Raw genomic sequence first — 23,877 nt, forward strand, 5'->3', positions numbered from 1 at the left:
AAATAAAAGTCACTCACAAACCTTTCTTTGGATTTACTTGACCAAACTCATGAATGCTATCTTACTTCTCATGCCTGGATGCCCTCACTGGATATAGAACCAGGTTAGAAGCTCAAGCCTCTTCAAAGGGTATTGGGAGAATAAATGCTATAATGTCCACGTGACTCCAACAAAGCTTAGCTCATAGAAAGCATTTGATGAATATTCATTGTCTTCCTCTCTTCCCCTATGTTTGACACCTTAATGTGTGTATACCTGTTCCAAACATTAATGTCTATTGTCTACTCCACTTTTGAGATATCGACAAAGTCTAACATCTCACTGTAGATGTTCATGACTGATATGGAACACCTTGAATTTCTGTGTCATTTAGATCCACTATTAAACGCTGGATACCGTAGGCCCCACAATAAAATTACCCTGGGTAATTACATCGCTACCATTAGCCCCATTAGCCCTATTGTATTTCAAAAATCCATTTCACAGTTTGGCAAAAAAAAAAAAAAAAAAAAAAAAAAGTAGGGTCCTAGTTTTGAAATCCCTTCAAAAACTCATGAATTTACCTGAAAGCGTCTTTGACTTATTTGTGTTTTTAATCTCAAACACCTTTTACAAGATTACTTCACTGATACACACTATGAATTCCAATAATTATGAAAGCAGTTAATACTTCCTTAGTGCTTATTCTGTGCCCCAAATTATCTCAATTAATCCTCCCAACAATCCTTTGAGGAAGATACTATTATGACTCTCTATTACAGATGAGGAAATTGAGGCTCAATGAGTTTAAGTCACTTGAACAGAGACACAAAATTGGTAAATGGTGAAGCAAGCACTCCATCCTGATATAAAGCCCTTGCGCTGTAACCCCATGGAAGACTTCAGTAGGTAATTGCCATAGCCTTTCACAGGTTTAAAATAGGTGAATCTGCTACAATTACGACCTGAGAACTGAGATCTGCACTCATATTTACTCCAACCCCCTCTAAATCTTTGCTCCAAACTCCTCTAAATATTTATTCCAAACCCCTTTGCAAAGTAAGCATACACATTTAGTCTTTATTTTTCATATTTTAGGACTACTAAAATATGAAAATGCATTGAAAATGAAGCCCATGTTGTTGGAAGCGTGGATCAATAAGGATTATTTGGTCTTGGCTAAAGGTTTAGTAAAATGTACTTAGATAATAATAATTAAATGAATGACTTAATTTGTTTTTCTTTCAAGCTTTATTCTTTATAAGAATTCAGTTTTCTTCACACACAGCAAACATATGTGATCCTGTGTTTTTATTTATAGAAAGAGCAAAAGCCAGGAAAATTAGGTAATTTGAATTTTAGTTAGAATCCTGTCTTTTTGATCTAAGTGATTATGTGAAAGTGGCTTGCTTTGAGTTTATCTTCATTTCTGTAATGATGGTTTGGACTGGTAAACTTCAATGGCACTTTCCAATTCTGAAATTTCATAATCCTGTGAAAACTCTTCATTTTTAATCTAAAATGATACAGTTGATATTTCTGCTGTCTAATGTGCCTCATTTATAGAAATGTATAGAAATTATTCCTGAGAATATATATGTCATTGCTCACTATACTAGAAAGCAGCATTCCTTATGGTAGATCACAAAGTTCTCATAATTGAGTAGGTAGTGACTTAAAAGCTTGGGCAATTCAGCTAGAAAGCTAAACAGCCGTCAATAACCGAACATAATTACTTCTAAAAACAGGGAAGGAAGTTGAGCATGAAATTCTAACTAAATAAGCATTTTATGATTTCTTCCCTCACTGACAGGCCACTGGGTACATTCCCTGTTCTGGGTTTAAAAAAAAATCCATTGGTATTTTTCTTAGAAAATGAAATATCAGATACAAGCAGCGATTTTCTAAATACGTAACAAAAGATATGTTATGAGCTCCCACCAATCAGAATAGAGGCCAAACACAAATAATTTCTACCCTGAACATAAGCCTTAAGAAACTAAACCAAAGAAAACACAACTTAAAAGTACTTTCCCTCCCCCTACCCTCAAATGAGAATGTATATTTTTAATCCTTTAAAATACAAATATGTTTGTCTCCAATTTATTTTATTTTTTTTTGAGATGAGGTCTTGCTTTGTCGCCCAGGCTGGAGTACGGTGGCACGATCTTGGCTCACTGCCACCTCCAACTCTTGGGTTCAGGAGAGTCTCCTGTCTTAGCCTCCCAAGTAGCTGGGACTACAGGCCAGTGCCACCACATCTGACTAATTTTTGTATTTTTAGTAGAGACAGGGTTTCACCATGTTGGCCAGGCTGGTCTTGAACTCCTGACCTCAAGTGATCCACCTAGCTTGGCCTCCCAAAGTGTCGGGATTACAGGCATGAGCCACCGTGCCTGGCCAGTCTCCAATTTTGAAAGAAATAATTAAATAGGGAAGCATCCACCTGATCCTTGCCCTACTTCTTATTCCATCGTATCCCACCAGGCCACCAGGTCCATCCACACAGGCCTTCTTTACATTTATTGTAAACAATACACACATGCCCACCTCCATCCAGAATGCCTCTTCAGATCATGAACAACAGCTTCCTCTTCAGATCATGAACAACAGCTTCCTTTTCATCATTCAGTATCAAGAGAGTGTCATATCACCTCCTTGAACAGGTTATCTCTGGCCATTAATGTTGCCAACACCTTGTTAACTCAAAACCTTACTCTGTTTTATTTTCTTTTTAACATTTAGTGACATTTGAAACTATTTTCTATTTACATTCAGTACTTGTTTATTTTCTGTCCACCCTACTAGGATTTCCATAGCTCAGGGAACTTGGACTATCTTGTACATGCCCAACCAATAGTAGTCCATCAATTAATATTTTCATAATAATTTTAGTGCTAATAACAAACCTAGTAATTTATGGTCACCTACTACATGTCAGGCTCTTTATAGATTATCTCCCTAATTATCAAATTAGTTCTATTAATCTTTTAACAGATGAAGAAAAAGGGGCTTCTGAGAGTTTAGAGAAGATAACAGGCCCAAGATCTCAATGTTCTTAAGGATGTAGCTGCAATTATAATTTAAAGTTCTGACTTCATTCCTGGCTATAATGACTCCTTATGCATTCCATATTTAATAAATCAAGTAAAAAATTTCCATTGCTTTATACTATCAGACATCACTGGATTGTATTACTCTTCAATAATTCTTAACATTTTATTTTTAAGTTCTTTGTACCTTTTCCTTAATAAACTACGTCTGTAAGAAAATATGCTACCATGGTGAATCTTTTCTTACCATGAATAATAATTTTAAAATTTAGTTCAGCCAAACACTCACATCACTGTATATAATGTCTTCTGTAAGCAGAAAGATATTGAAACAATGAGAAAGATCAGATGAACAAATATAAATGAGATTTTAGCATAGGAATAGATTGCATGAAAGTAATACAGAAGCCAATAAATGTAAAGAAAAATGGTTAGGAAGAATAGATTTGATGACAATATACAGATATAGTATTAGCTATTGGCTGTTTTCATACTGGGTCCTAAGAAACACTTGAGGTAATTTTTAAAAATAGAAATTCCAGGGCCCAATTCCAGATCTACTAAATCAAAATCCTGGGGTGGAGGTGGGGGAAGAAGAGTCATCCCAAGTGAATGTTACATTTAAGCAAATTTGAGAAGCACTGGGAGAAAGAATGCTTATTTGTTATGAGTAATACAGGAGGCATGGAGATGATAATGTTAGGCAGTTGGAGGTCTTCAAGTAATTATTTACCCAGAGACAGTAGCACTAAAACTTACTGTATACTCATGATTGCATTTTTGTCATTTTCTATTGTTTCTTGTATGTCTGTGTGTGTGTGTATGTGTATATATGTATGTGTATATATATATACTATCAGAGACCACTGGATTGCATTACTCTTCAATAATTCTTAACATTTTATTTTTAAGTTCTTTGTACCTCTTCCTTTATAAGCTACGTCAGTAAGAAAATACATATATATATATAATATATATACATAAATATATATATACACACACATATATGTATATATACATATACACACACACAAAATGTGTATGCTTATGATCAGAATTCAACACCTACATTAGATGAAAGGTTTAAAAGTTTAAATATTTTAAAAGTCCCACCATTGAGATTTTTTGTTAATTTATTGACTCTAAGGGCCTGTTTCTTTTACTTATGTGCACACACACACACACATTCACATGGTTCCATGGCAGCAAAGAAATTCTCACATTCCAAATATGTCTTAGTGAAGCATGATAGTTAAGAATTCTCAATATTTTAACGTTACTTAGAGCACCAGTAGGTAGGTTACCCTGGCCCCATTCCCAGAATTTAACAGTAGGGGCCTTGTGAAATGCTAAACGATGTGTATAACAGTATTCAGGCTCTCCAAGAGCCAATCCGTCAAAACATTTGCTGCTTTGAAAATGTGTTCTTCAAAAAAATGGGCATATGGAACTTATTACTCTGCTTGGTGGAGTTCAGGCAGCAGGGTCCAAAGTAAGCACAAAAACCTTTTGAGGACATAATCCTACCTAAAGGTAGCAGGGTCTCCAAAACTGTCCTTCCCTGACCCAAGAGGTATAGAAGTCTCATGGGAAATAGCAGAGTTCCAAATACTTTCCTGTAATTCAAGTATTAGAATAGCTCAAAACTAGGTAGAAGCATAAAAAAAGGTAATATTTAAATAGACAGTCTATAAAATATTGGACTTGTTTTGGTAAATGATCCCTCAGTTGGTATCTCTTTATCACCCACTTCTAGCACAACTTTTGGTCCATATTTGATGTTTAATAATTATATGTGAACAAATAAGTCAGTGACATTTTGCTGCTATATACTGAAGTAGAATTTAGAATGCATAGCTACATACTTGTGGAAATTTCACCAATGAAAGGGAAATTGAATTCTCTAATCCCCATGGGAAATAAATATTTTCACAAAGAAGAAAACCATCAAAAGAAGGACAATGATTAGCTTACCCTTACTTTTTCTCTCCCTATTGACACCCATGTCATCTGGATTTAAATGAGTATATATATATATATTTAATTTACATGTTCTTAATATTTAATTGAAATACATTTTAATATTTCAATACAGTATTAAATACAGGAAGCTTATTTTTAAAATATATTTTAATATTTCAATTAAATATTAAACACAGGAAGCCAATTGATAGAATTTGCAAAGAATTAACTTACTTTTCTTTGAAACTGCGTAACATTTGCTGTACTAGCTATTAAAATAACACAATTTTCACTAGTAGAAAGGACAGGAAATGCTAGTATCAGCCCTTGCAGACAAGAACAGAATTTAGTTTTTGAAGCTGAGAAGGCTCAAACTCCTTGCTGTGTTTTATTATGCATAACTGAAATTCTTCACAGTTACAAAAGTGTAAACTTCTCTTGATTGCATCAATATGTACTTGGAACAAGGGGATATGTAGGTCAGTGCTTGTGAAGGAACTCTGTAGCTACATTTAAGTTTGCTTTGAAGGAATAAAAGTAAATACATAAAGTGTGCCTTTTTTTTTTTTTTTGGTAAAAACCATGCAGGCATTCCATTTTTAACTTCTTTCGGATCATAGGATGGATTTATCTTCCTCATTGAAAAATTCCCCTTGCTTGAAACTTCCTGACAGTTACAGATTTTTTTTTCCCCTAGAATGTTTGATCATTTGAATAGCACTGTATGGACCACTCTTTGATGGTTTATATTCTCCCAACGTGATGCTCACTTCTGTTCATTACCTTATTTTTCATTATTTCATAATTTGTCTTTTGTATTTTGTGACTGCTTCCTCTGGGATTTTTTTTTCCTAGAAAAATGACAAGAATGATCCACACAAGTCCATAAGAGAGGCTGTAAAATAAACATTATACCATGTGTGGGGTAAAAAAATAAATAAATAACTGCAAATGGCTGTTCTCACTTTCTGGCATTTACACACATGGCCATCTGTTTGAGGGCTGTTTTAAATGGCTGTTTTCCAACATTTATGTAACTGGCCAATTGAAAGGAAATGACATCATCAAGTTTCCTGAAGGCTATAGCCGGAGCCACGAAAAAGTTCGGAAACAAATTGCTTGGTAAAGAGAAAGATGTTTTTGAAATGTCTCTTTTTAATATGTACTTCTTTCTTATTTCTAGCATTTCTAACATTTTCCCCCTTTTTCTATACATTCTGTGTTTATACCCCTCAATATTTGCACAATCTACTTTGGGGCTTCTCCTCTCTAAATTGTAAGGGAGTTAAAGAGAAAAATATCCTCTTTGTTGGGTCTGTACAATCTGGTCAGAATGTGCTGAAAACCAAAGAGTTTTCTGACCTACTTAATATCCAAGAATGGACTTGATTGACTTTGTCACTGAAATGACGGCAGATTTTGAACTTGTAGACGTAGGCCTTGCAAAGCATGGAAATAATTCCGGACAGACATAGACTGTTCTGCTACCAAGGTGCTGCTGTTGAACTACCCCTCACAGCACAGCCCACAGAGCATGACTGAGTGAAGAGGAACATTTGGAAAGTTTATCATATTTGTTGGAATCACCAAGAAATTAAAGCTAGGAAGGGTAGAGGTTTTTATTTTTATACTTTTAAGCTCAGGGGTACATGTATAGGTTTGTTACATAGGTAAACATGTGTCATGGGGGTTTGCTATACACACTATTTCATTACCCAGGTATTAAGCCTAATATCCATTAGTTATTTTTCTTAAGCCTCTCCCTCCTCCCCACCCACTATCCTCTAATAGACTCCAGTGTGTGTTGTTCCTCTCTATGTGTCCATGTGTTCTGATCATTTAACTCCAACTTGTAAGTGAGAACATGTGGTGTTTGGTTTTCTATTCCTGCCTCAGTTTGCTAAGGAAAATGGCCTCCAGCTCCATCCATGTTCCTGCAAAAGGCATGATCTCATTCTTTTTTATGGCTGCATAGTACTCCATGGTGTATATGTACAACATTTTGTTTATCCAGTGTATCACTGATGGGCTTTTATGCTGACTCCATGTCTCTGCTATTATGAATAGTGCTGCAATCAACATATGCATGCATGTGTCTTTATAATAGAATGATTTATATTCCTTGGGGTATATACCCAGTAATGGGATTGTTGGGTCAAATGGTACTTCTGTTTTTAGGTCTTTGAGGAATCGCCACACTGCCTTCCACATGGAAAGGACACAAATGGTTGAACTGATTTACACTCCCACCAACTGTGTATAAGTGTGCCTTTTTCTCCACAACCAGGTCAGTGTCTGCTATTTTTTGCCTTTTCAATAATAGCCATTCTGACAGGTGTAAGATGGTATCACATTGTGGTTTTGATTTGCATTTCTCTAATGATTGGTGATGTGAGCTTATTTTCATATGATTGTTGGCTGCTTGTATGTCTTCTTTTCAAAAGTGTCTGTTCATGTTCTTTGCCCACGTTTTAATGGGGTTGTTTGTCTTTGTCTTGTAAATTTGTTGAAGTTCCTTCTAGATGCTGCATGTTAGACTTTGTTAGGTGCATAGTTTGCAAAAATTTTCTCCCATTTTGTAGGTTGTCTGTTTACTCTGTTAATAGTTTCTTTCGAGGTGCAGAAGCTCTTTAGTTTAATTAGATCCAATTTGTCAGTTTTTGCTTTTGTTGCAATTGCTTTTGGCATCTTCATCATGTCTTTATAGCATAGTTTACAGATCTCCTTGTCCCTGAGTGTCTCAGTAATTTGGACCACCGGACCAAAGAGTTCTTTCATCAGATTCCAAAATTAAGCCATCTCTTGGGAAAACCTAGCAGCTGCATTTAAGCCTCACATTTGTATGGGAAAAGTATTAGTGTTGGAGGAAATTAAGTGTACCTTCTCTTCAAACTTTCTTGGGAGGTCAGAGCAAATAGAGAGTTCATCTAAGCAGCAATCTACTTAAACTCCTATATTAAAACCATTTTGGAATTTTTAAATGCCTTCATATGATTTCAATCTACTGTGGTATTGTATTCTACCAGAATGTTGCAGTTTCTTGCCTGAATCACCATTCTTCCAAGTTGGGGCGGGGAGCATCACTTAAAAATTGTGTCCTTTCCACATTGCCTGCACTTGTTTGAAATTTTCTTCTCTTCCTGTTTCCTTCTCCTCCTCTTTTCATTATCACGGTGGGTAGGAGACATGGTTGTTGCTCCACCAGATTTCCTTTGCCAGTTGGTGCATCTGTACTCAGGTGTTTTGGGTTCTTTCTGGAGGCTTGCCCTTTGCTGATAGGAGCCACCTGCTGGGGTTACAGCGCCACCTTTCCCCACCCTTCTGGGTCACCAATGGCTGACTGGTTTGGGGGTACAAAAGCCTGGGCACATATCCTCAAGGTGAAACAAGGTTGTTTCTTGGGGGGTGTGATTGTGGGAGGTGTGATTTATGCCCCAGTTTCCTGGGCATCAGCCAAGGCTATACTTTACCTGAGATCACATCTCTCCTTTCCTCTTTCCCCCTCAATGTTCAGCTTAATCTACTGCCTTCTAGGTTTTTCCTAAAGATCACTCCTTCAATACATCACATATATCTGGAGCCCTTTCTCAGTCTCTGCTTTTAAGGACCCCTATCTAAGACATTGTGATCACCAACAATGATATCTGAGTGATGAGTCTACAAAGTCCTATCCTATGTTTCAAGAGTCCAAAGCATGAGGAGAGTCTCTATCAGGGTAGATGGCAAGGGATGGGATGCGCTTGTGAGGTTGTGAGTCAGCAGCAGTATCTAAGGGAAAACATTTAAGGTGAGAGTTTAAGAAAGAAGGAAACATTGGTACTTGTTAGGTTACCTGACAGAATTTAATTAAGTTAGTAAAAATTGCAGAGGTAGATGAAAAATTGTTTCTTAGATAAGAAAAAAAAATTAACACTTGTGATTGAAGAAAATTTGGAAAATACAGAAAAGTGTAAAAATAACATCAAAACCACCTGTAATTCTGCTATCCAAATATCACCCCTGTTTTTGTATGTTTCCTTCCAATTTCGATGTATCTATCTTCCTATCACTGTATTTTATTCATATGTATTTATTTACATTTATAAATTGAGAATTGCTACATATACAATTTAATATCCTTCATTTTCTTCCTGAACATTACATATATTTTTATGCCATGTAGTACTCTTTGAAAATCTGATTTTCAATATCTGCATAATATTAAATTCTATAGGTTTGCCATAATATAAATATATACATATCATCAGAATTTCTTCACTTCATTACAGTCAATCAAATCTTTATTTTAGTTGAATTGTCTTAATATGTTGACATGCTGCATCACAAACACAGCTACTGTATGCTCTTGTCTTAAGGACATTTCATCCCTACATTAACATTACTGCACATCTGAGTGATCCAGAAATTGTGCTCAATATCAGTAGGACTTAGTAAAAGTAAGAGCATAAAAGTAAATATGGTATAAGCAAATTTAATAGAACTCAAAAATATCATGTAGCAAGAAGGAGCATGCAAATGACGGAATGACAGCGAGGGGGACTGAATGGGGAAATACGGAAGGCAAGGAGTGTATAGAGGTGCATGTGAACAGCCATGCAGTGCTGTGCAAGCCACGGGAAAAGGGCATGAACCATCTTCAGATTTTTCCTGTGTCTCCCCAAAGGTTTCTTATGGAATGGGTCTGGTATGTTCCTCATTTTGTAATGCACCAAGTGATGTGCTAAGTAAGAATGTGATGCTGTAATGGTTAATTCACTCATCTAATATGTATGATACTATAAATAACTCCCAAATTCTTTGTTTGAGTTACAATGGTGACTAAAGTATACATGTATTTTTGCTAATATATAATATGAATCTGTGTGCATGTGATTTCAATAAAAAAATTTTCAATTTTTAATGAATTATAGCTTTGTTAACAGCGTGAAGACTAGAAGAAAAAGAATGGAAGAAAGAAGTGAAAGAGAAACAAATAGGGAAGGGGATCCCTCGGATGACTGGGAAGGAAAGGAAAACCAGAAAAAGCAGTCAGGATGAATGCCTGACAAAAAACTCTGCTGCAGTGACACTTTGACATGAAGCAGATTCAAACTTTCTATGACTGAACAGGACATTTTCCATTTATTGCTCCTTTGATACCCAAGCTCCTCAATGGGGGTATTCTTCAATGAGACACTTTTACCAGTGACCATATTCTTGCTTGTTGGTTTCTTTTTTTTTTAAAGTATGTTGCTGCTGTACTTTTAAGAAAGTTGTGTTTTATCTTAGTACTTTGATATTCATAAATGGTATAAAGCATAATTTTACCACATAGCTTTAATGGAATACTTTTTACAAACAAAATAAAACTTGACCTTCTTCCACCCTATCTCCACATCGGAACTAATTTTACTACATTTTATTTTTCAAAAACTATTAATTCAGTCAATGAATATTGACTTTGGACTACATTGGGTCATTTTCAATGGATTGCTCTGGTACAGCTTTACTTTGTCATGTCCTTTGTTCTTGCTCTTTCTTGTCTACCTACCAGTTAAAATATGAAACTCATGAAGCATTTAGCTCCCTGGATAGTGATTCCTGTATCAGGGTGAATCATGCAAACTTTCATATTGTCTAAACTATAATTCAGAAATATAATGTGGCTTAAATGGGAACTTGGGGCTAATGTTTAACAAGTGTGCACCATACTTTATCAGTTCTCTAAGATTTATTTTCTACAAACAAAATTTTTTATGTAACGGGCTACCTTTAAGTGGTAATCCTAAAGGCCCTTTCTGACTTGTTCATTAACTTTTTCAAGTCTTCAGGCCACTGAGTTATCTGGTGCACAGAGTAATACCAAATCATGTCTGAGAAAGGTTCCATGATTCCCAAAGTGCCTGATTTTCCACGTCTTCCTGTAAGAAGTAGTAATAGATATGCTAAATGACTGGGGAAATAAGAATTAAGCCTACGGCTACTTTAAACTTTCCTATGGAAAGATTTTAATGAGTTTCCAAGTAGACTGTTCAGCTGAGACAATTTTATATAATGTGGTATATATGATTTAAAAATCTACATCCAAAAAACACATAAAAGACATACCCTACTTTAGCTATGTGTCACTATACTCAGCTATGTATGCATAATATAATATACATATATACATACACACATGTAGTTTAGACACACCCTACTTTAGTTATGTGATAGTATATATGTTTATGACTTAGAAACCCTACTTTAGCTAGGTGTTAGTTTTTTTCTCTGACTCTAAAATTATGTGTTTTGTTTGTTTGTTTGTTTTTGGAGACAGAGTCTCACTCTGACCTCTGTCGCCCAGGCTGGAGTGAAGTGGTGTGATCTCAGCTCACTGCAACCTCTGCTCCCGGGGTTCAAGCAATTCTTCTGCCTCCGACTTCTGAGTAGCTGGGATTATAGGGGTGTACCACAATGTCTGGCTAATTTTAGTATTTTTAGTAGAGATGGGGTTTCACCATGTTGGCCAGGTTGGTCTCGTACTCCTGACCTCAAGTGATCCACCTGCCTCGGCCTCCCAAATTGCTAGGATTACAGGCGTGAGCCACTGCGCCCAGCCAATTCTGTTTTGACTATGAAGTAATACGACTTAAAATATGAATTACGGAAGCCATGCTTCTGAGTCATGCAGTGACCTTCCTCCACCCATCCCCACGCCAGTGCCTCCCACTGTTATTTTTGTGCATTTGGCATAACCAGTTTTCTTTAATGAAAGAGATTTCCTTTCCAAGATAGGAGTGCAAGCTCCAGACTAAAATTATGAAAATGCAAATGAGTAGTGCTTCCTTTATCCAAGTTGCTTTCTTCAGGTATATGTTGTATGTGTGCTGTTGTTTGCTGGTAGCTAAAAGTCCATTCTTTCAGCAGGATTGTCTTCTGTCTCTAAGGGAACAAGAATGACCATTAAGTAAAAAACATGTATGAAATTATGCGGGTGAGAATCTTTACCCCACTTTTTGTTCTTTTTGATGGTAGAAAAACCTTTGTCTTGCAAAGGCAAAACTAGTAAAAACTTTCTGCCTTCGGCTTAAACATTAAATGAAAATATATCTATTTAAACAATGTTTTAGGCTGGGTGCGGTGGCTCACGCCTGTAATCCCAACACTTTGGGAGGCCAAGGCAGGCGGATCACAAAGTGAGGAGTTCAAGACCAGCCTGGCTTATATGGTGAAACCCCGCATCTCCTAAAAATACAAAAATTAGCTGAGCATAGTAGTCGGCGCCTGTAATCCTAGCTACTCAGGAGGCTGAGGCAGGAAAATTGAGCCGAGATCATGCCACTGCACTCCAACCTGAGTGACAGAGTGAGGCTCCATCTCAAAAAAAAAAAAAATTGTTTTGCCCTGAATGGGTAGACCGGTGGGTTTGAGTTCAGCTTTGGGAAAAGGTAGGATGGTTTTCCTCTAAGCATGAAGTAGGCAGAATGTGCCTGTTTTGTCCTTTCATGAGAGCAATTTGATCTAGAGGAAGTACGAGGCTTTAAACTCCGGGTCTACAGAATTAAAGGAGGGTAAAAGAAGGACAGCAGGACCTGACACTGGGCTTCTTATTGTTCCTGTCACAATTTAAATCATTTGTTCACAGTTGGTCACAAGACCTCAGTCTATTCCGTGCTGCAAGTGTATTCTTTCAAAAAACAGGAAGCAACACTTAAGTAATTGCAGATTTACAGTGACTACCAGGCTGATCCCAGCTCTTTGTCATGGCTTTCCTGTTTGGGTCTGAAGGAAGTGGCGGAGAAAGGAGAGAGAGGGTGGGGGAAGAAACTGTTAGAAGGACGGGTTAGCCTGAGCCTGGCTTTGCCTTAGTGAAAGAGTGATGAAAACACTTTAAACAGTTGCCGACAGGCCGGTAGAAAATATTTGACATCTCACCTACATCAACAAGCAAGAGTTAAAGGTTAAATCACACACAACTCAAGTGCTGGGAAAAAAGGATAGGTTTAGGTCATCAACTTTCTTTGTTCTAGGACCGCCCTATGTCAACAAGGAGACATATTCCCACTCCCTGGTTGGAGACACCAGGACAATAGAGACTGATCCACATTTGCTCTGGGTGGTAAATCCCCTTTTAAGCATTTGTAGCTTGCCTCTAGTCTAGCCTTCTTCATCGTTTTTTACCTGCTTCCAAATACCTATGTATTTAGGGCAATGTGGTTGGTGGCCTTTCTTCTTTCTTCAACCAGTTTCTTGAGATCCCAAGCATGAAGCTTAGTGTAGGAGGAGAACTAGGAAGTGAAAAGTGTTTGCATCCATTTCCTGTGTTGGTTCCAAATTCAGTGAGCATCCAACCTAAATCCTTTGGATGGTGGTAGGGCCAGGGAAAGGTGCTTTACATTGCTGGTTCTCACACACTCTAGGTTTAATGATAGAAGGACCTTTCTGGAGAGGCATTTAGTGCTTTTCACAAGGACTATAACAAAAGGTGGGGCAGATTTCTTCACTGGTTCAAGGAAGATTTGAATTGAAATTTGGGAAGAAAGGAAAATATGCCCAGGGGAGCAATGCAACACTGTTGTGGTGGATGCCAACAGGTGTGTTATAGAATGAAAAAGAAACAGCATAGAAAAGTACATTTTATCATTTGGTGGGCCAAGGTCCATTTTGAGAATCTGGTGAGAGCCATGATTATCTGCCTACACCAAAGTTTGTATCCATGCTTAGGAGGATCAGAAATTTTGATGATTTTTTTTTTTTTTTAAGAATTCCTAGAAGTTCAGCTGGGCTCAGTGTTTCACGCCTGTAATCCCAGCACTTTTGGAAGGCCGAGGAGGGTGGATCACCTGAGGTCAGGAGTCTGAGACCAGCGTGGCCAACATGGTAAAACCCCGTCTTTACTAAAAATACAAAAAATTAGCCGGCGTGGTTGTGGGTGCCTGTAATCCTAGCTACTCAGGAGGCTGAGGCAGGAGAATTGCTTGAACCTGGGAGGCAGAGGTTGCAGTGAGCCAAGATTGTGCCACTGCACTCCAGCCTGGGCAACAACAGTGAAACTCCGTCTCAAAAAAAAAATATATATATATACATATATATGTATGTGTGTATATATATATATGTGTGTGTATATATATGTGTGTGTGTGTATATATATATATATATATATATATAATTCCTAGAGGTTCATGGAGCCCTTTGAAGTGCCCCTAATGTAGAAGGTCCCTGTGGTATAGGGGTACAGCAAGCTGCCCATGCCTCCCCACAGTATTTTGAGAGTTAAACTAGATCTATATGCAATAGATAAGAATAGGTATAGCCAAAGCCCTTTACAACTAAATGGTTTCTACACACAAGATTCAGGACCCTCTTCCCTCGATAATGCTAAATGATCAAGACCAGCTCTTCCCACCTTCACATTTTTTGTGTTTTCTGTAATTTTAAAAAATATTCACCTGCTGGTAGACTCTTCATATGTTAATCCTATCATACGAACCACAACACAGTTTGTTTACTGTTCTTATTCCTGGCCTAGAAAACATTTGCCCAGTTCTATGGACTTGTCTACTTTCTGGTCCCTCTATTAGGAATATGTTTAATTTGAAAATGAATATATTAAGGTATCATCATCTGATGCTGTGAAATATTTGCATCATTTAAAGAGAGAGCATTCCTTTTCTTGATTTGGGGCTCACCAACAATTTGATCAATTTTCATGCAACTTTATAGTTAAGGCATGATATCTCAAAATAAAATATTGACTCAAAAATGCCCCAAAACCCACAGCTTTTAGGTCTTGTTGTTCAATGTTTTTAAAGAGAAGCACACATTTTTATTAAACTGTATTTGAAAATGCCTTCCAATATCATTTTCTTCCTTTGAAACATCATTTTCTAAAAAAATATTTATTTAAAAGCATTATTCTGAGAAGTATTCTACAGACAGAACTATTCTTCAGACAGTGAAAAGGGTCCATGTACAAGAAGTTTAAGAACTCCTAGCAAAGAGATAATGGAAATAATTGGTGCACTGGTACACTGAATGGCGTTCAAAGTTGGTGAATTTGCTGGAAATGCCATAAAGGTACCACTGGCCTTGCATGAATGGGAAGCAGTCTAACAACATTCAACAGAGGATTCTATAAACAAGTCACACTGGAAGGCCAACTGATTGGGCTGCCTTTCTAAGATTAAATCATTCTTACCAGGCACTTCTCAGTACATAAAGCAAACACTGAAATTTCACCAAATTCATGAGGTTGTGTTTTTGTTTTATTTTGTACAAAACTGGCTGGTAGCAACTAAATGTTGTAAAGAGTGTCAGAATTTAAATGAAGACTTTCCTTCATCATGGCATACCCATGTGGCACAGTGTGGTTGTTAGGGAAAAGAATCTATAGCTCCTATCTATATCTGACCATCAGAGGCTATAGATCCTATCAAAAGAACTTGACAGTTTTGAGTAGCCAAATTGTCTTTTGTCAGTTTTCCCCAATTGTTTTTTATTAGTCTTAACATCAAGCTTTGCAGTGTTTTCCATGAGCAACTGTTTTGTTTCTACTTTCAGACACTGTGAGTCTTGTAACTGACTGTTTGCTTTTTTCTTTGTATTGGCTGTTTGATTAAGGGTTAAATCTGTTGACCTACCATAGCAATTGTATGCAATTTCACAGAATAGCCTTTGTATTTATATTTCATTCCTTTTCAGTTTCCTTATCAATCTTCATAGTGGCATCTATGATTGAATAGAATAACACATTCAAAACATTTGAAATAACATCATAGACACAGTAAGAGCAAAACTATGTGTTAGATATTATTCCTGGCTCCATCTTATTTTTCCAAATTACTTTTTCTTTGGCTTATGTCCTGATTACTTTTGTTGCATTGTTGTTGAAATTTTGCTATTATTACCATGTAGAATGATTTTTTTTGTAAATTTTCTTTGTTCTATTTGGAGACCTGATAGCAGTGTGAGGTATGGGTTTGGACAGAATGGGATTTGAAATAGAATGTAAGAATAATTAGTTTGACAGACGATATCAACTAAAATAGTGGCAGTAGGGATGCAGAGAAAGAGAGGTATTTATGAAATCAAATTGAGAGGACCTTTATGTGAAAGCACATTTTATGTGAAAGCTAAATATAGTAATAGGAAATCTGAGTTGATCCTCAACTTGCTAGGTGGGCAAGTGATGATGCCATTAATCAAGATCAGGAATACAGAGGTGTCATGGGGGTGATCAGGGGTGGTGATAAATAGGGATAAATATGTTATGACCATGTTGAGATTGAGATTTTTTTTGCAGGATGATTTAGTAAAATCCAGTAAAACACACAAAATAAGCCATCTAGAGCTCAGGAAAGATTATGAAGCTGGATACACTGGTTTAAAATTTAGCAAAGTATACATATTTAGCTGAAGCAATGATTATGGGTAAAATTGCTCAGTAATAAGAGAAGGCCAAGGGACTTTTGGGAAATGGACTTGGAAGACAAAGGCTGTGACTTGTTTGTCTTTGTATTTCCAGCACCTAGCCCAGTGCCTGGCACATAAGAGTTTTTCAATAAATGTTTATTTCATGACTTACCAAATGAATGAGTGACTGAGTAAGGAGACCCAGTCTCCTCAGAGGAGACTGGGAAGGTGCAGTTGGAAGGATGACAGAAAACAGTAGAGAATGATGTCTTAGAAGATAAGGTAGCAGAAGTTTAAGAATGAGATTACAAAAAAAAAAAAGAATGAGAGCACAGTGAAAATTTCTGAGTGTTGGATGACAGAAAACTGAAACAGAGTTAGTGCACTGGATGATAGAACCAGGACTCAAAAAAATCTCAGGAGTATGGAAATTAGAGTTCGATCTCATTGCTATTTACTAGGGATAAATGTAAAAACCTAATGACAATTGAGAATATCAAATCCATGAGCACTAGAAGCAGATGACCTGGCTTAATCACGTTCCTAGGGTTTAATGGTATGCTGAAGGTTCAAAATAAATTAATATTGGAGCCTAAATGCCAAGGTATGTAATTAGGCAATGTTTATAAAAATATCCAGTGTGGAAATTGGGGATAAGAATACCTTAGTATAGTTTGCAGATACAGGTTGGAACAATGCCTTTCAAGAGGAAAAATACTATAGTAGGGGCAGAGAATGAAAAGAAGAATGAGGAAGTGCTTATTGGGTTCATGCTATAAGATAGACTTATGTATGCCCCAGGGATCTGGGGACAAAGGTCTCTGTTCTCATGATCTCTACAATCTGTGGAGGAAGAACACATGAAGCAAACCCATATATAAATATACAGAAAATTAGAGATGAGATGGCCATTTATGGTGAAGGCCAGAGTCACTGGAGCAAGGCAAACAGGGGAGACAGGGGCATGAGGTGGGCCATGGTCAGTTCAGGCAAGTCTTGGGGGCCTTTGAAAGAACTGGATTTATTCTAAGCACAATGGGAAGCCACTGGACAACTTTAACAAGGGTAGTAATATAATGAAATAAAATACATTAAAGAAAAATGAATTATCTGGATTCTATGTGGAGAATGCATTAAAGAAGGAAAAATTGGATGTCTAGATGAGAGTTGATGGTGTTTTGGACAACGATGGAGGCAGTGAAGATGGCAAGGCATGGCTATATTCAAAGCATATTTCAGGGTAGATTTAATAGTACTTGATGACTTGATTTGAATTACATTGATTTGATACCAGGAGTTAGAATGAGGAGTACAACGCTCAGAATTCTAGCTTCTGGAAGTAGATGAAATGTGGCACTATTTTCTGAGCAGAATCCTTGGAGGAGCGTGATGTTTGTGAAGGTGGGAAATTGATTGTGAATACTATTTCCTTTTGGATATACAAAGTTTGGGATGTCTGTAAACATCCAAGATACATCAGATAGAATTCAATAAAGACCAGAGCCAATAACATGTCCCTTAGGGATACACCAATTATATTGCTTGATGTTCAATGGGGCCACTTGACACTGATCTATTTCCCTTCAGCTTCCCCCTTCAACAGAAATGGAGGGAAATTTGAAGCCCAAATATTATGCTCTTTTTTTGTCAACAGAAAACTGAGTGGTGCTGACTTATCAAGGCTTTTTTTTTTTTCCAAGAAAGAATTCTGACAGAAGCCTTGTACTTGTGTAGATTCAAATCTGAGCTTTAAAAATGCTGGTTTTCAGATTACCTGTGGTCTTATACTTGTGATATTTATATTCCTCATGTTTCTTAGTACTGTGGGTAATCTTAGAGGCTTCTTTCTATAGTTAAGATGTTTTCTAAAGATCTGATTGTTTCCTGGCAATCAGGAAACATTCCTGCAGCAATATAGCTGCAGATAATTCTCCCAAATAATTATATTACATGTGAGTCTCATACCAGAAATTGCCTAAAAGTCTTTAAAGGCCAGTGTTTTCTGATAAGATTGGTGATGGATCTGAGAGAGAAGATCATTAAGTTAGGGAAGATAAGATAAACATTCCTCAGACTTCAGGTCTACTTTAATGACTAAGATTAAGTGCTGAAAGGCCTTTCAAATAAACACTTAAATAAGAAGGAGAAACTCAAAGAAATAATAAATGTTTGAGGTGAGAAGTATGCTAATTATTCTAACTTGATCATTACACACTGTATACATGCATCAAAATATCACTCTGTATACCGTAAACATGTACAATCATTATGTGTCTATTAAAATTAAATAAAAGGATTAGCCATATCATTGAATGATACTGTGTCTCATCATTCTCCTCCCAGCTCAATAACAAACCAATTTTCTTTATATAGTCTCTTAAGCCTCTGCTTCTCCACTTAACCCAACAACGAAGTCTACCACCTTATTTCAGCCCATCATCTGATATGTGGGTTATTGAAATGAAGTCCTATTTTAATCTCCCCTCCCTGCTGCCATTCTGCTCTCTGCCACCAAAGTAAATTTTCTGACATGCTTCTCTCACAATGCCTCTTTTGTGCCCCAATTCTCCACTAAGTCCACATGTTACAATAGTTAAAAAAAAAAAATCCTCTTTCTCTTAGTCAGGTAGTTAAGAACTTCTGCAGGACCCAATCCATCCTATCACATGGATTTTCCCCCATTCATTGTCCTGTAAACACACTCTGCACTTGCTTACATTGTTCTCCACTCCTGGAATGCAGGTCTCCTCCTTGAGTTAACCCTTCTTTTTTTTTTTTTGAGATGGAGTCTTGCTCTGTCACCCAGTCTGGAGTGCAGTGGTGCAATCTTGGCTCACTGCAACCTCTGCCTCTTAGGTTCAAGCCATTCTCCTGCCTCAGGCTCCTGAGAGTAGCTGGGACTAAAGGCGCCCACCACCATGCCTGGCTAATTTTTGTAATCTTAGTAGAGATGGGGCTTTACCATATTGGCCAGACTGGTCTCGAACTCTTGACTTTGTGATCTGCCCGCCTCGGCCTCCCAAAGTGCTGGGATTACAGGTGTGAACCACCGTGCCCAGCCAGAGTTAGCCCTTCTTTTAAGGCCAAGACTGAGCTCTCCCCTCTAGGACAGCTGATTCTTATATCATCATGCACTTTCTATCTTTATGTGATTTGCATCTGTGTCATTCTCTAGACGAGGCCCAGATGCAAACATTTCCTGCCCCAGCTCTTGGCAACCCTCTGCACAGCACAGAGAGCCCGGATGGCTGGCCTCAGGTCAGTGGGACCTTTGAGGTCATCTACATCTAGATTCAAGGCATTTTCCAATAAGAAAAGAACAAAGTCTAATTTGAAAGGCTACTTTTGCAAGTAGGAATGAAGAAAGACTGCTTCTGCCAAATGCTCTGGGAAGTATTCTGTGCAATAAAGTATAAGGCATTTGCCTCTCCTCTCTCTTGCTCTTCTCTCTTTTTCACTGTCTCAATTTTTAAAACCAATTTTCTCATCTTGTGTGCTGAGTCGTATTTTCTAGTTCCTCCCAGAAATGTTTTTTTCATCATTCCTAAGCGTATATCTTTAATCCTCTAAGACCCTTTTGCTCTCCCAAATCATCTCAACAAAATTCCTTATTTCGTTGTCTAACTACTTTTCTCTTCAGTTATAACACTTGATTTCTTTTTACTTATTTAGCTCTTCAATTTTACTTTTATTCATTCCTATTTTTTTGTTGGGTCAAGAGAGACCTCCTTCTTTTCTTTTTCTTCCCCCTGGATAGCTAAGCACTAAAGGCATTGACACTTGGACATACCCTATATTCAGGTTACCACAGAAAGAGAGCCTCATTTTATTCCTATGTTCCCTGGCCAGTAATACTATAACTTTGTGTACATTTTTAAATATTGTTTGAATGTTTATTTGGGAACTGAGGATAAGGTTTTATAATATATTACTTGGGAGTACTCAGATTTGCAGTCAGTTATTCTATATTACACACTAACTTGATTTCTGTTTTTAATGGCTTTGAGCTTTCTGAGAATCAATGAATGTTTTTGTTTTTGCCATTGCAGTTCTGTGATAAAATCTCTTGTGTCAGGTGGTCATTGTTGCAGAAAAATGTTGTCTTGGCGTATTCACATGATACGCAGTAAACAATATTGCCAGATACCTATAGAGGGCGGAGGCCTTTGTCATTTTTAAAGTAAATGGATTATTTTCCTAGCTGTGTAATCACATCAACACATTCTCAGATGAAGTGGTAGTTTCCTTCCTTCTGATTCAAACAAGTTCTTGTCTTAACAGTCCTTGTTCTAATGTCTTAGACACTATTTACTCAGCATATAGGGAGGGATAAACTCAGAATAATTGCCTAAACTCAATCTGTCCTGGGAGAGAAGTGGGGAAATGTGATGCATACAATTTAAGTGAATTTTTTTTTAATGCTAGTACTTAATCTGTTCCTCTCCATCCTGGCAGAAGTTTATCCCTGGGATGAACTGGTACCACAAAAGTCAAAACCCTATTACCTTGAAAGATGCTTAGGCTGCAAACAAAAAATTTATTAACCTAAAAAATACTGCTTTTTGTTTTTTAAGGCATGGTTTGAAATTGTGCTTCTATCCCTCTCACTTCCGTCCAGTACTCAGTCTAATTAGATTTTTGAATGTACTATGTATTGGTGGAGCTTGTGGAGACTTTGGCTTTCTTTAGATGAGTAGCCTGGACTGTCATTTGAAACATGGGAGGCATGAAGATTTCCATACATTTTGACATTCCAGATTTTATTATACCTTGTCTTAGCGTACCTGTAGTTTCAGGAATTGAGTAAAATAATAACAAAAACAATATTAATAGCTTAATGACAGTTAATGTATGCAAAGTACCATTTTAATCACTTTCTATACATCATCTTAATTAATCATCACAGTAATCTTATGATATAGATACAATTATTATAAAATCAATTTTCAGATGAAACTGAGATACAAAACTATGAAACAATATGCCTAAAGTAGCCTAGATCCATCCAGGCAGCCATGATTAAAGATGAACTTAATTTCCTATTATTTTACTTGCTACTCCATAATAAAATCATAGTGATTAAAAAGACAAAATTATGTATATTTGGTGGAAGTAATTGGCTAGATAAAAGATAAAATTGATCTTCCAAATCTAGTTAGTATGATTTCTGGAGTTCCAAGAGTGCTTGTTAAGTAAGGTTAGGAATATCTATTGGATATTAAAATCCCATGCCTCAACTTTATTCAATAATGTCAGGGTTTTAATTTAGACATAATGCAGATAATCCCAAGAGACATAATTCTTTTACTTTAGTAAAAATACAAAATCAAAAGAGAATCCAATGGCAAGGTGTTAGGGAGTCAGTACAAAGTTTGTAGTGAGAATGAGAGTTTTGGAGAGGGAAAAATGAGTCTTTTATGTTAAATACATGGTGAAAGGATTGTATTAATTCCATTGTAGTTGATAATCATTATCCAGTTGAAATCATTATTAAAATGTAGAAGTAATCTTATTGCTTGCTTCTAATGTTTGCCATTATTGCATAGATTTGAAAATGCAAACTTCAGAAATTCAAGCCCTAGATAGATTACATATTTCTTCATAGGATCTTAGGTATTTTAATAACAGATACAATGAAGTGCCTGGTAATGGGTTTATCGGTCCAAGGAACAAGTCATGCCCTTGTGTGAATAATGGAGAGGAACAGGAATGTACATTAAGACTAGTGGCTGAGCATGGTGGCTCACGCCTGTAATCCCAGCACTTTGGGAAGCTGAGGTGAGCAGATCACGAGGTCAGGAGATCGAGACCATCCTGGCCAACATGGTGAAACCCTGTCTCTACTAAAAAAAAAAAATACAAAAATTAGTTGGGTGTAGTGCCACGTGCCTGTAATCCTAGCTACTCAGGATGCTGAGGCACAAGCATCGCTTAAACCCAGGAGGCAGAGGTTGCAGTGAGCTGAGATCACACCACTGCCTGGGTGACAGAGTGAGACTCCGTCTTAAAAAAAAAAAAAAAAAAAAGACTAGCAACCTGCTTGGGCTTTTAATATGAAATTGCCTTGCTCTAAAATAACCTGAATTATGCACTAAACAAGAAACGTGATTTTATTTTACTTCATAACATAAAGAATGAGAATACATAGAACAATATTTAAAATCAATATTGGAAAACTCTTAAATGTCTTCTTTCAATGGTCATAATTACCACTTAAAATAATTCCGATATTTTCCCTAAACTAGGTCATCCTCCTCCCTCTCAAGGACAGAAACCTCCAGCTTCTCAAGGACAGAAACCCTCACTGAAAGAACTTTGTGTTCAATGGCTCTTTAATGGCTTGTTAAATGGTTTCTCCTTCCTATGTCCTTTACATTTATTATGTTATTTAACTTCCCAGCAACCCTATGTTATAACTGAGAAATAGCAAAAGAAAGTAATTGATCCCAGGCAACACAGTGAGCGCGATGATTTAAATTTTGGCTGCTTTACTCCAGAGTCCAGACTTTTAATCACTATCGATCTATTCATTTAATTCTGTTGACTAGTTTTGGAGTACAGTTCCAATGACCTTAGGATAAGAATGACAAAAACAAGCTCTCATCATGACATAAACAAACAAACAAAAACAACACACCATCCTGTAATACAGTTTCACTAACAAGATTCCTTGCACATTCCAGATAATAAGTCAGATGGCTTGAGGGTCAGGTGAGTTATACCCTCCAGCTAACTCCCCCTGCTTTGTCAATATAAATCACAGCTGGATCATTTCTACAACCTGTTCTTAAGGGAAGGAGGCACATTTCAAAAATATTTGAACAGAAAAATCTTTGAATAAGTATGATTGCTTCATTTGATAGGAAAGAATGAAGGAAATTAAATTATGTCACTGGGGGCTTGCATATAACTTAACTTACTTCCATTTAATTTTTTCAAATAATTTATGAAGTAATTATTATTCTCCCCATTTGAAAGATGAGGAGGAAATGGAATCAAAAAGGCTCACTAAATTTCCTAAGACCACAAAAGGCGGAACCAGAATACAGACCCAGTTTTCCTGGTTTTTCAGAATTTATATCTATCATTTTAGAGTGCCAAAAGATTGCTCTGTTGAATGCAAAATAAGGTTTCCAGTTTAACAGATAGATTTGCATTAAGCCATCCACCCTCTTATATTCCAAGATGCTGGCTGTGGTCTTGGAAAAGACACCTTCTCCTGAGGATCTATGTAAGGAAATTGATGTGACAGGCAAGAGAGGACTCAAAGTTTTCTAGCACGGTGTCTGGGGAGATGGTGATGCATTCACTGAAGATGTGATTTACTAGAAAAATTGACTGCAAAAGATTTTAATGAGTCCAATTTGGGACATGTTAAGTTTGAAGTGACTTTGGAACCTATCAATTCTGCTGTCTAGAAGGCAATTGGCGAACAGAGCTCAGGAGTGAAGTCTGGGCTAAATTTAGGCACGCTCAGTGTATAGATGGAGATTTGAGTCTGTGAGTGGGT

General features: G+C 36.9%; 1 long non-coding RNA gene across 1 annotated transcript; it reads left to right on the plus strand.

Moving 5' to 3' along the window:
• The first annotated feature begins 6,084 nt into the window (after positions 1-6,084).
• Positions 6,085-10,362, plus strand: LINC02104 (long intergenic non-protein coding RNA 2104). The gene is made up of 3 exons (NR_104632.1): positions 6,085-6,116; positions 7,173-7,281; positions 9,905-10,362. It is a non-coding gene; the product is annotated as a long intergenic non-protein coding RNA 2104 (long non-coding RNA).
• The last annotated feature ends 13,515 nt before the right edge of the window (positions 10,363-23,877 follow it).

Source organism: Homo sapiens, chromosome 5, assembly GCF_000001405.40.
Source record: "Homo sapiens chromosome 5, GRCh38.p14 Primary Assembly".
Lineage (NCBI taxonomy): Eukaryota > Metazoa > Chordata > Mammalia > Primates > Hominidae > Homo > Homo sapiens.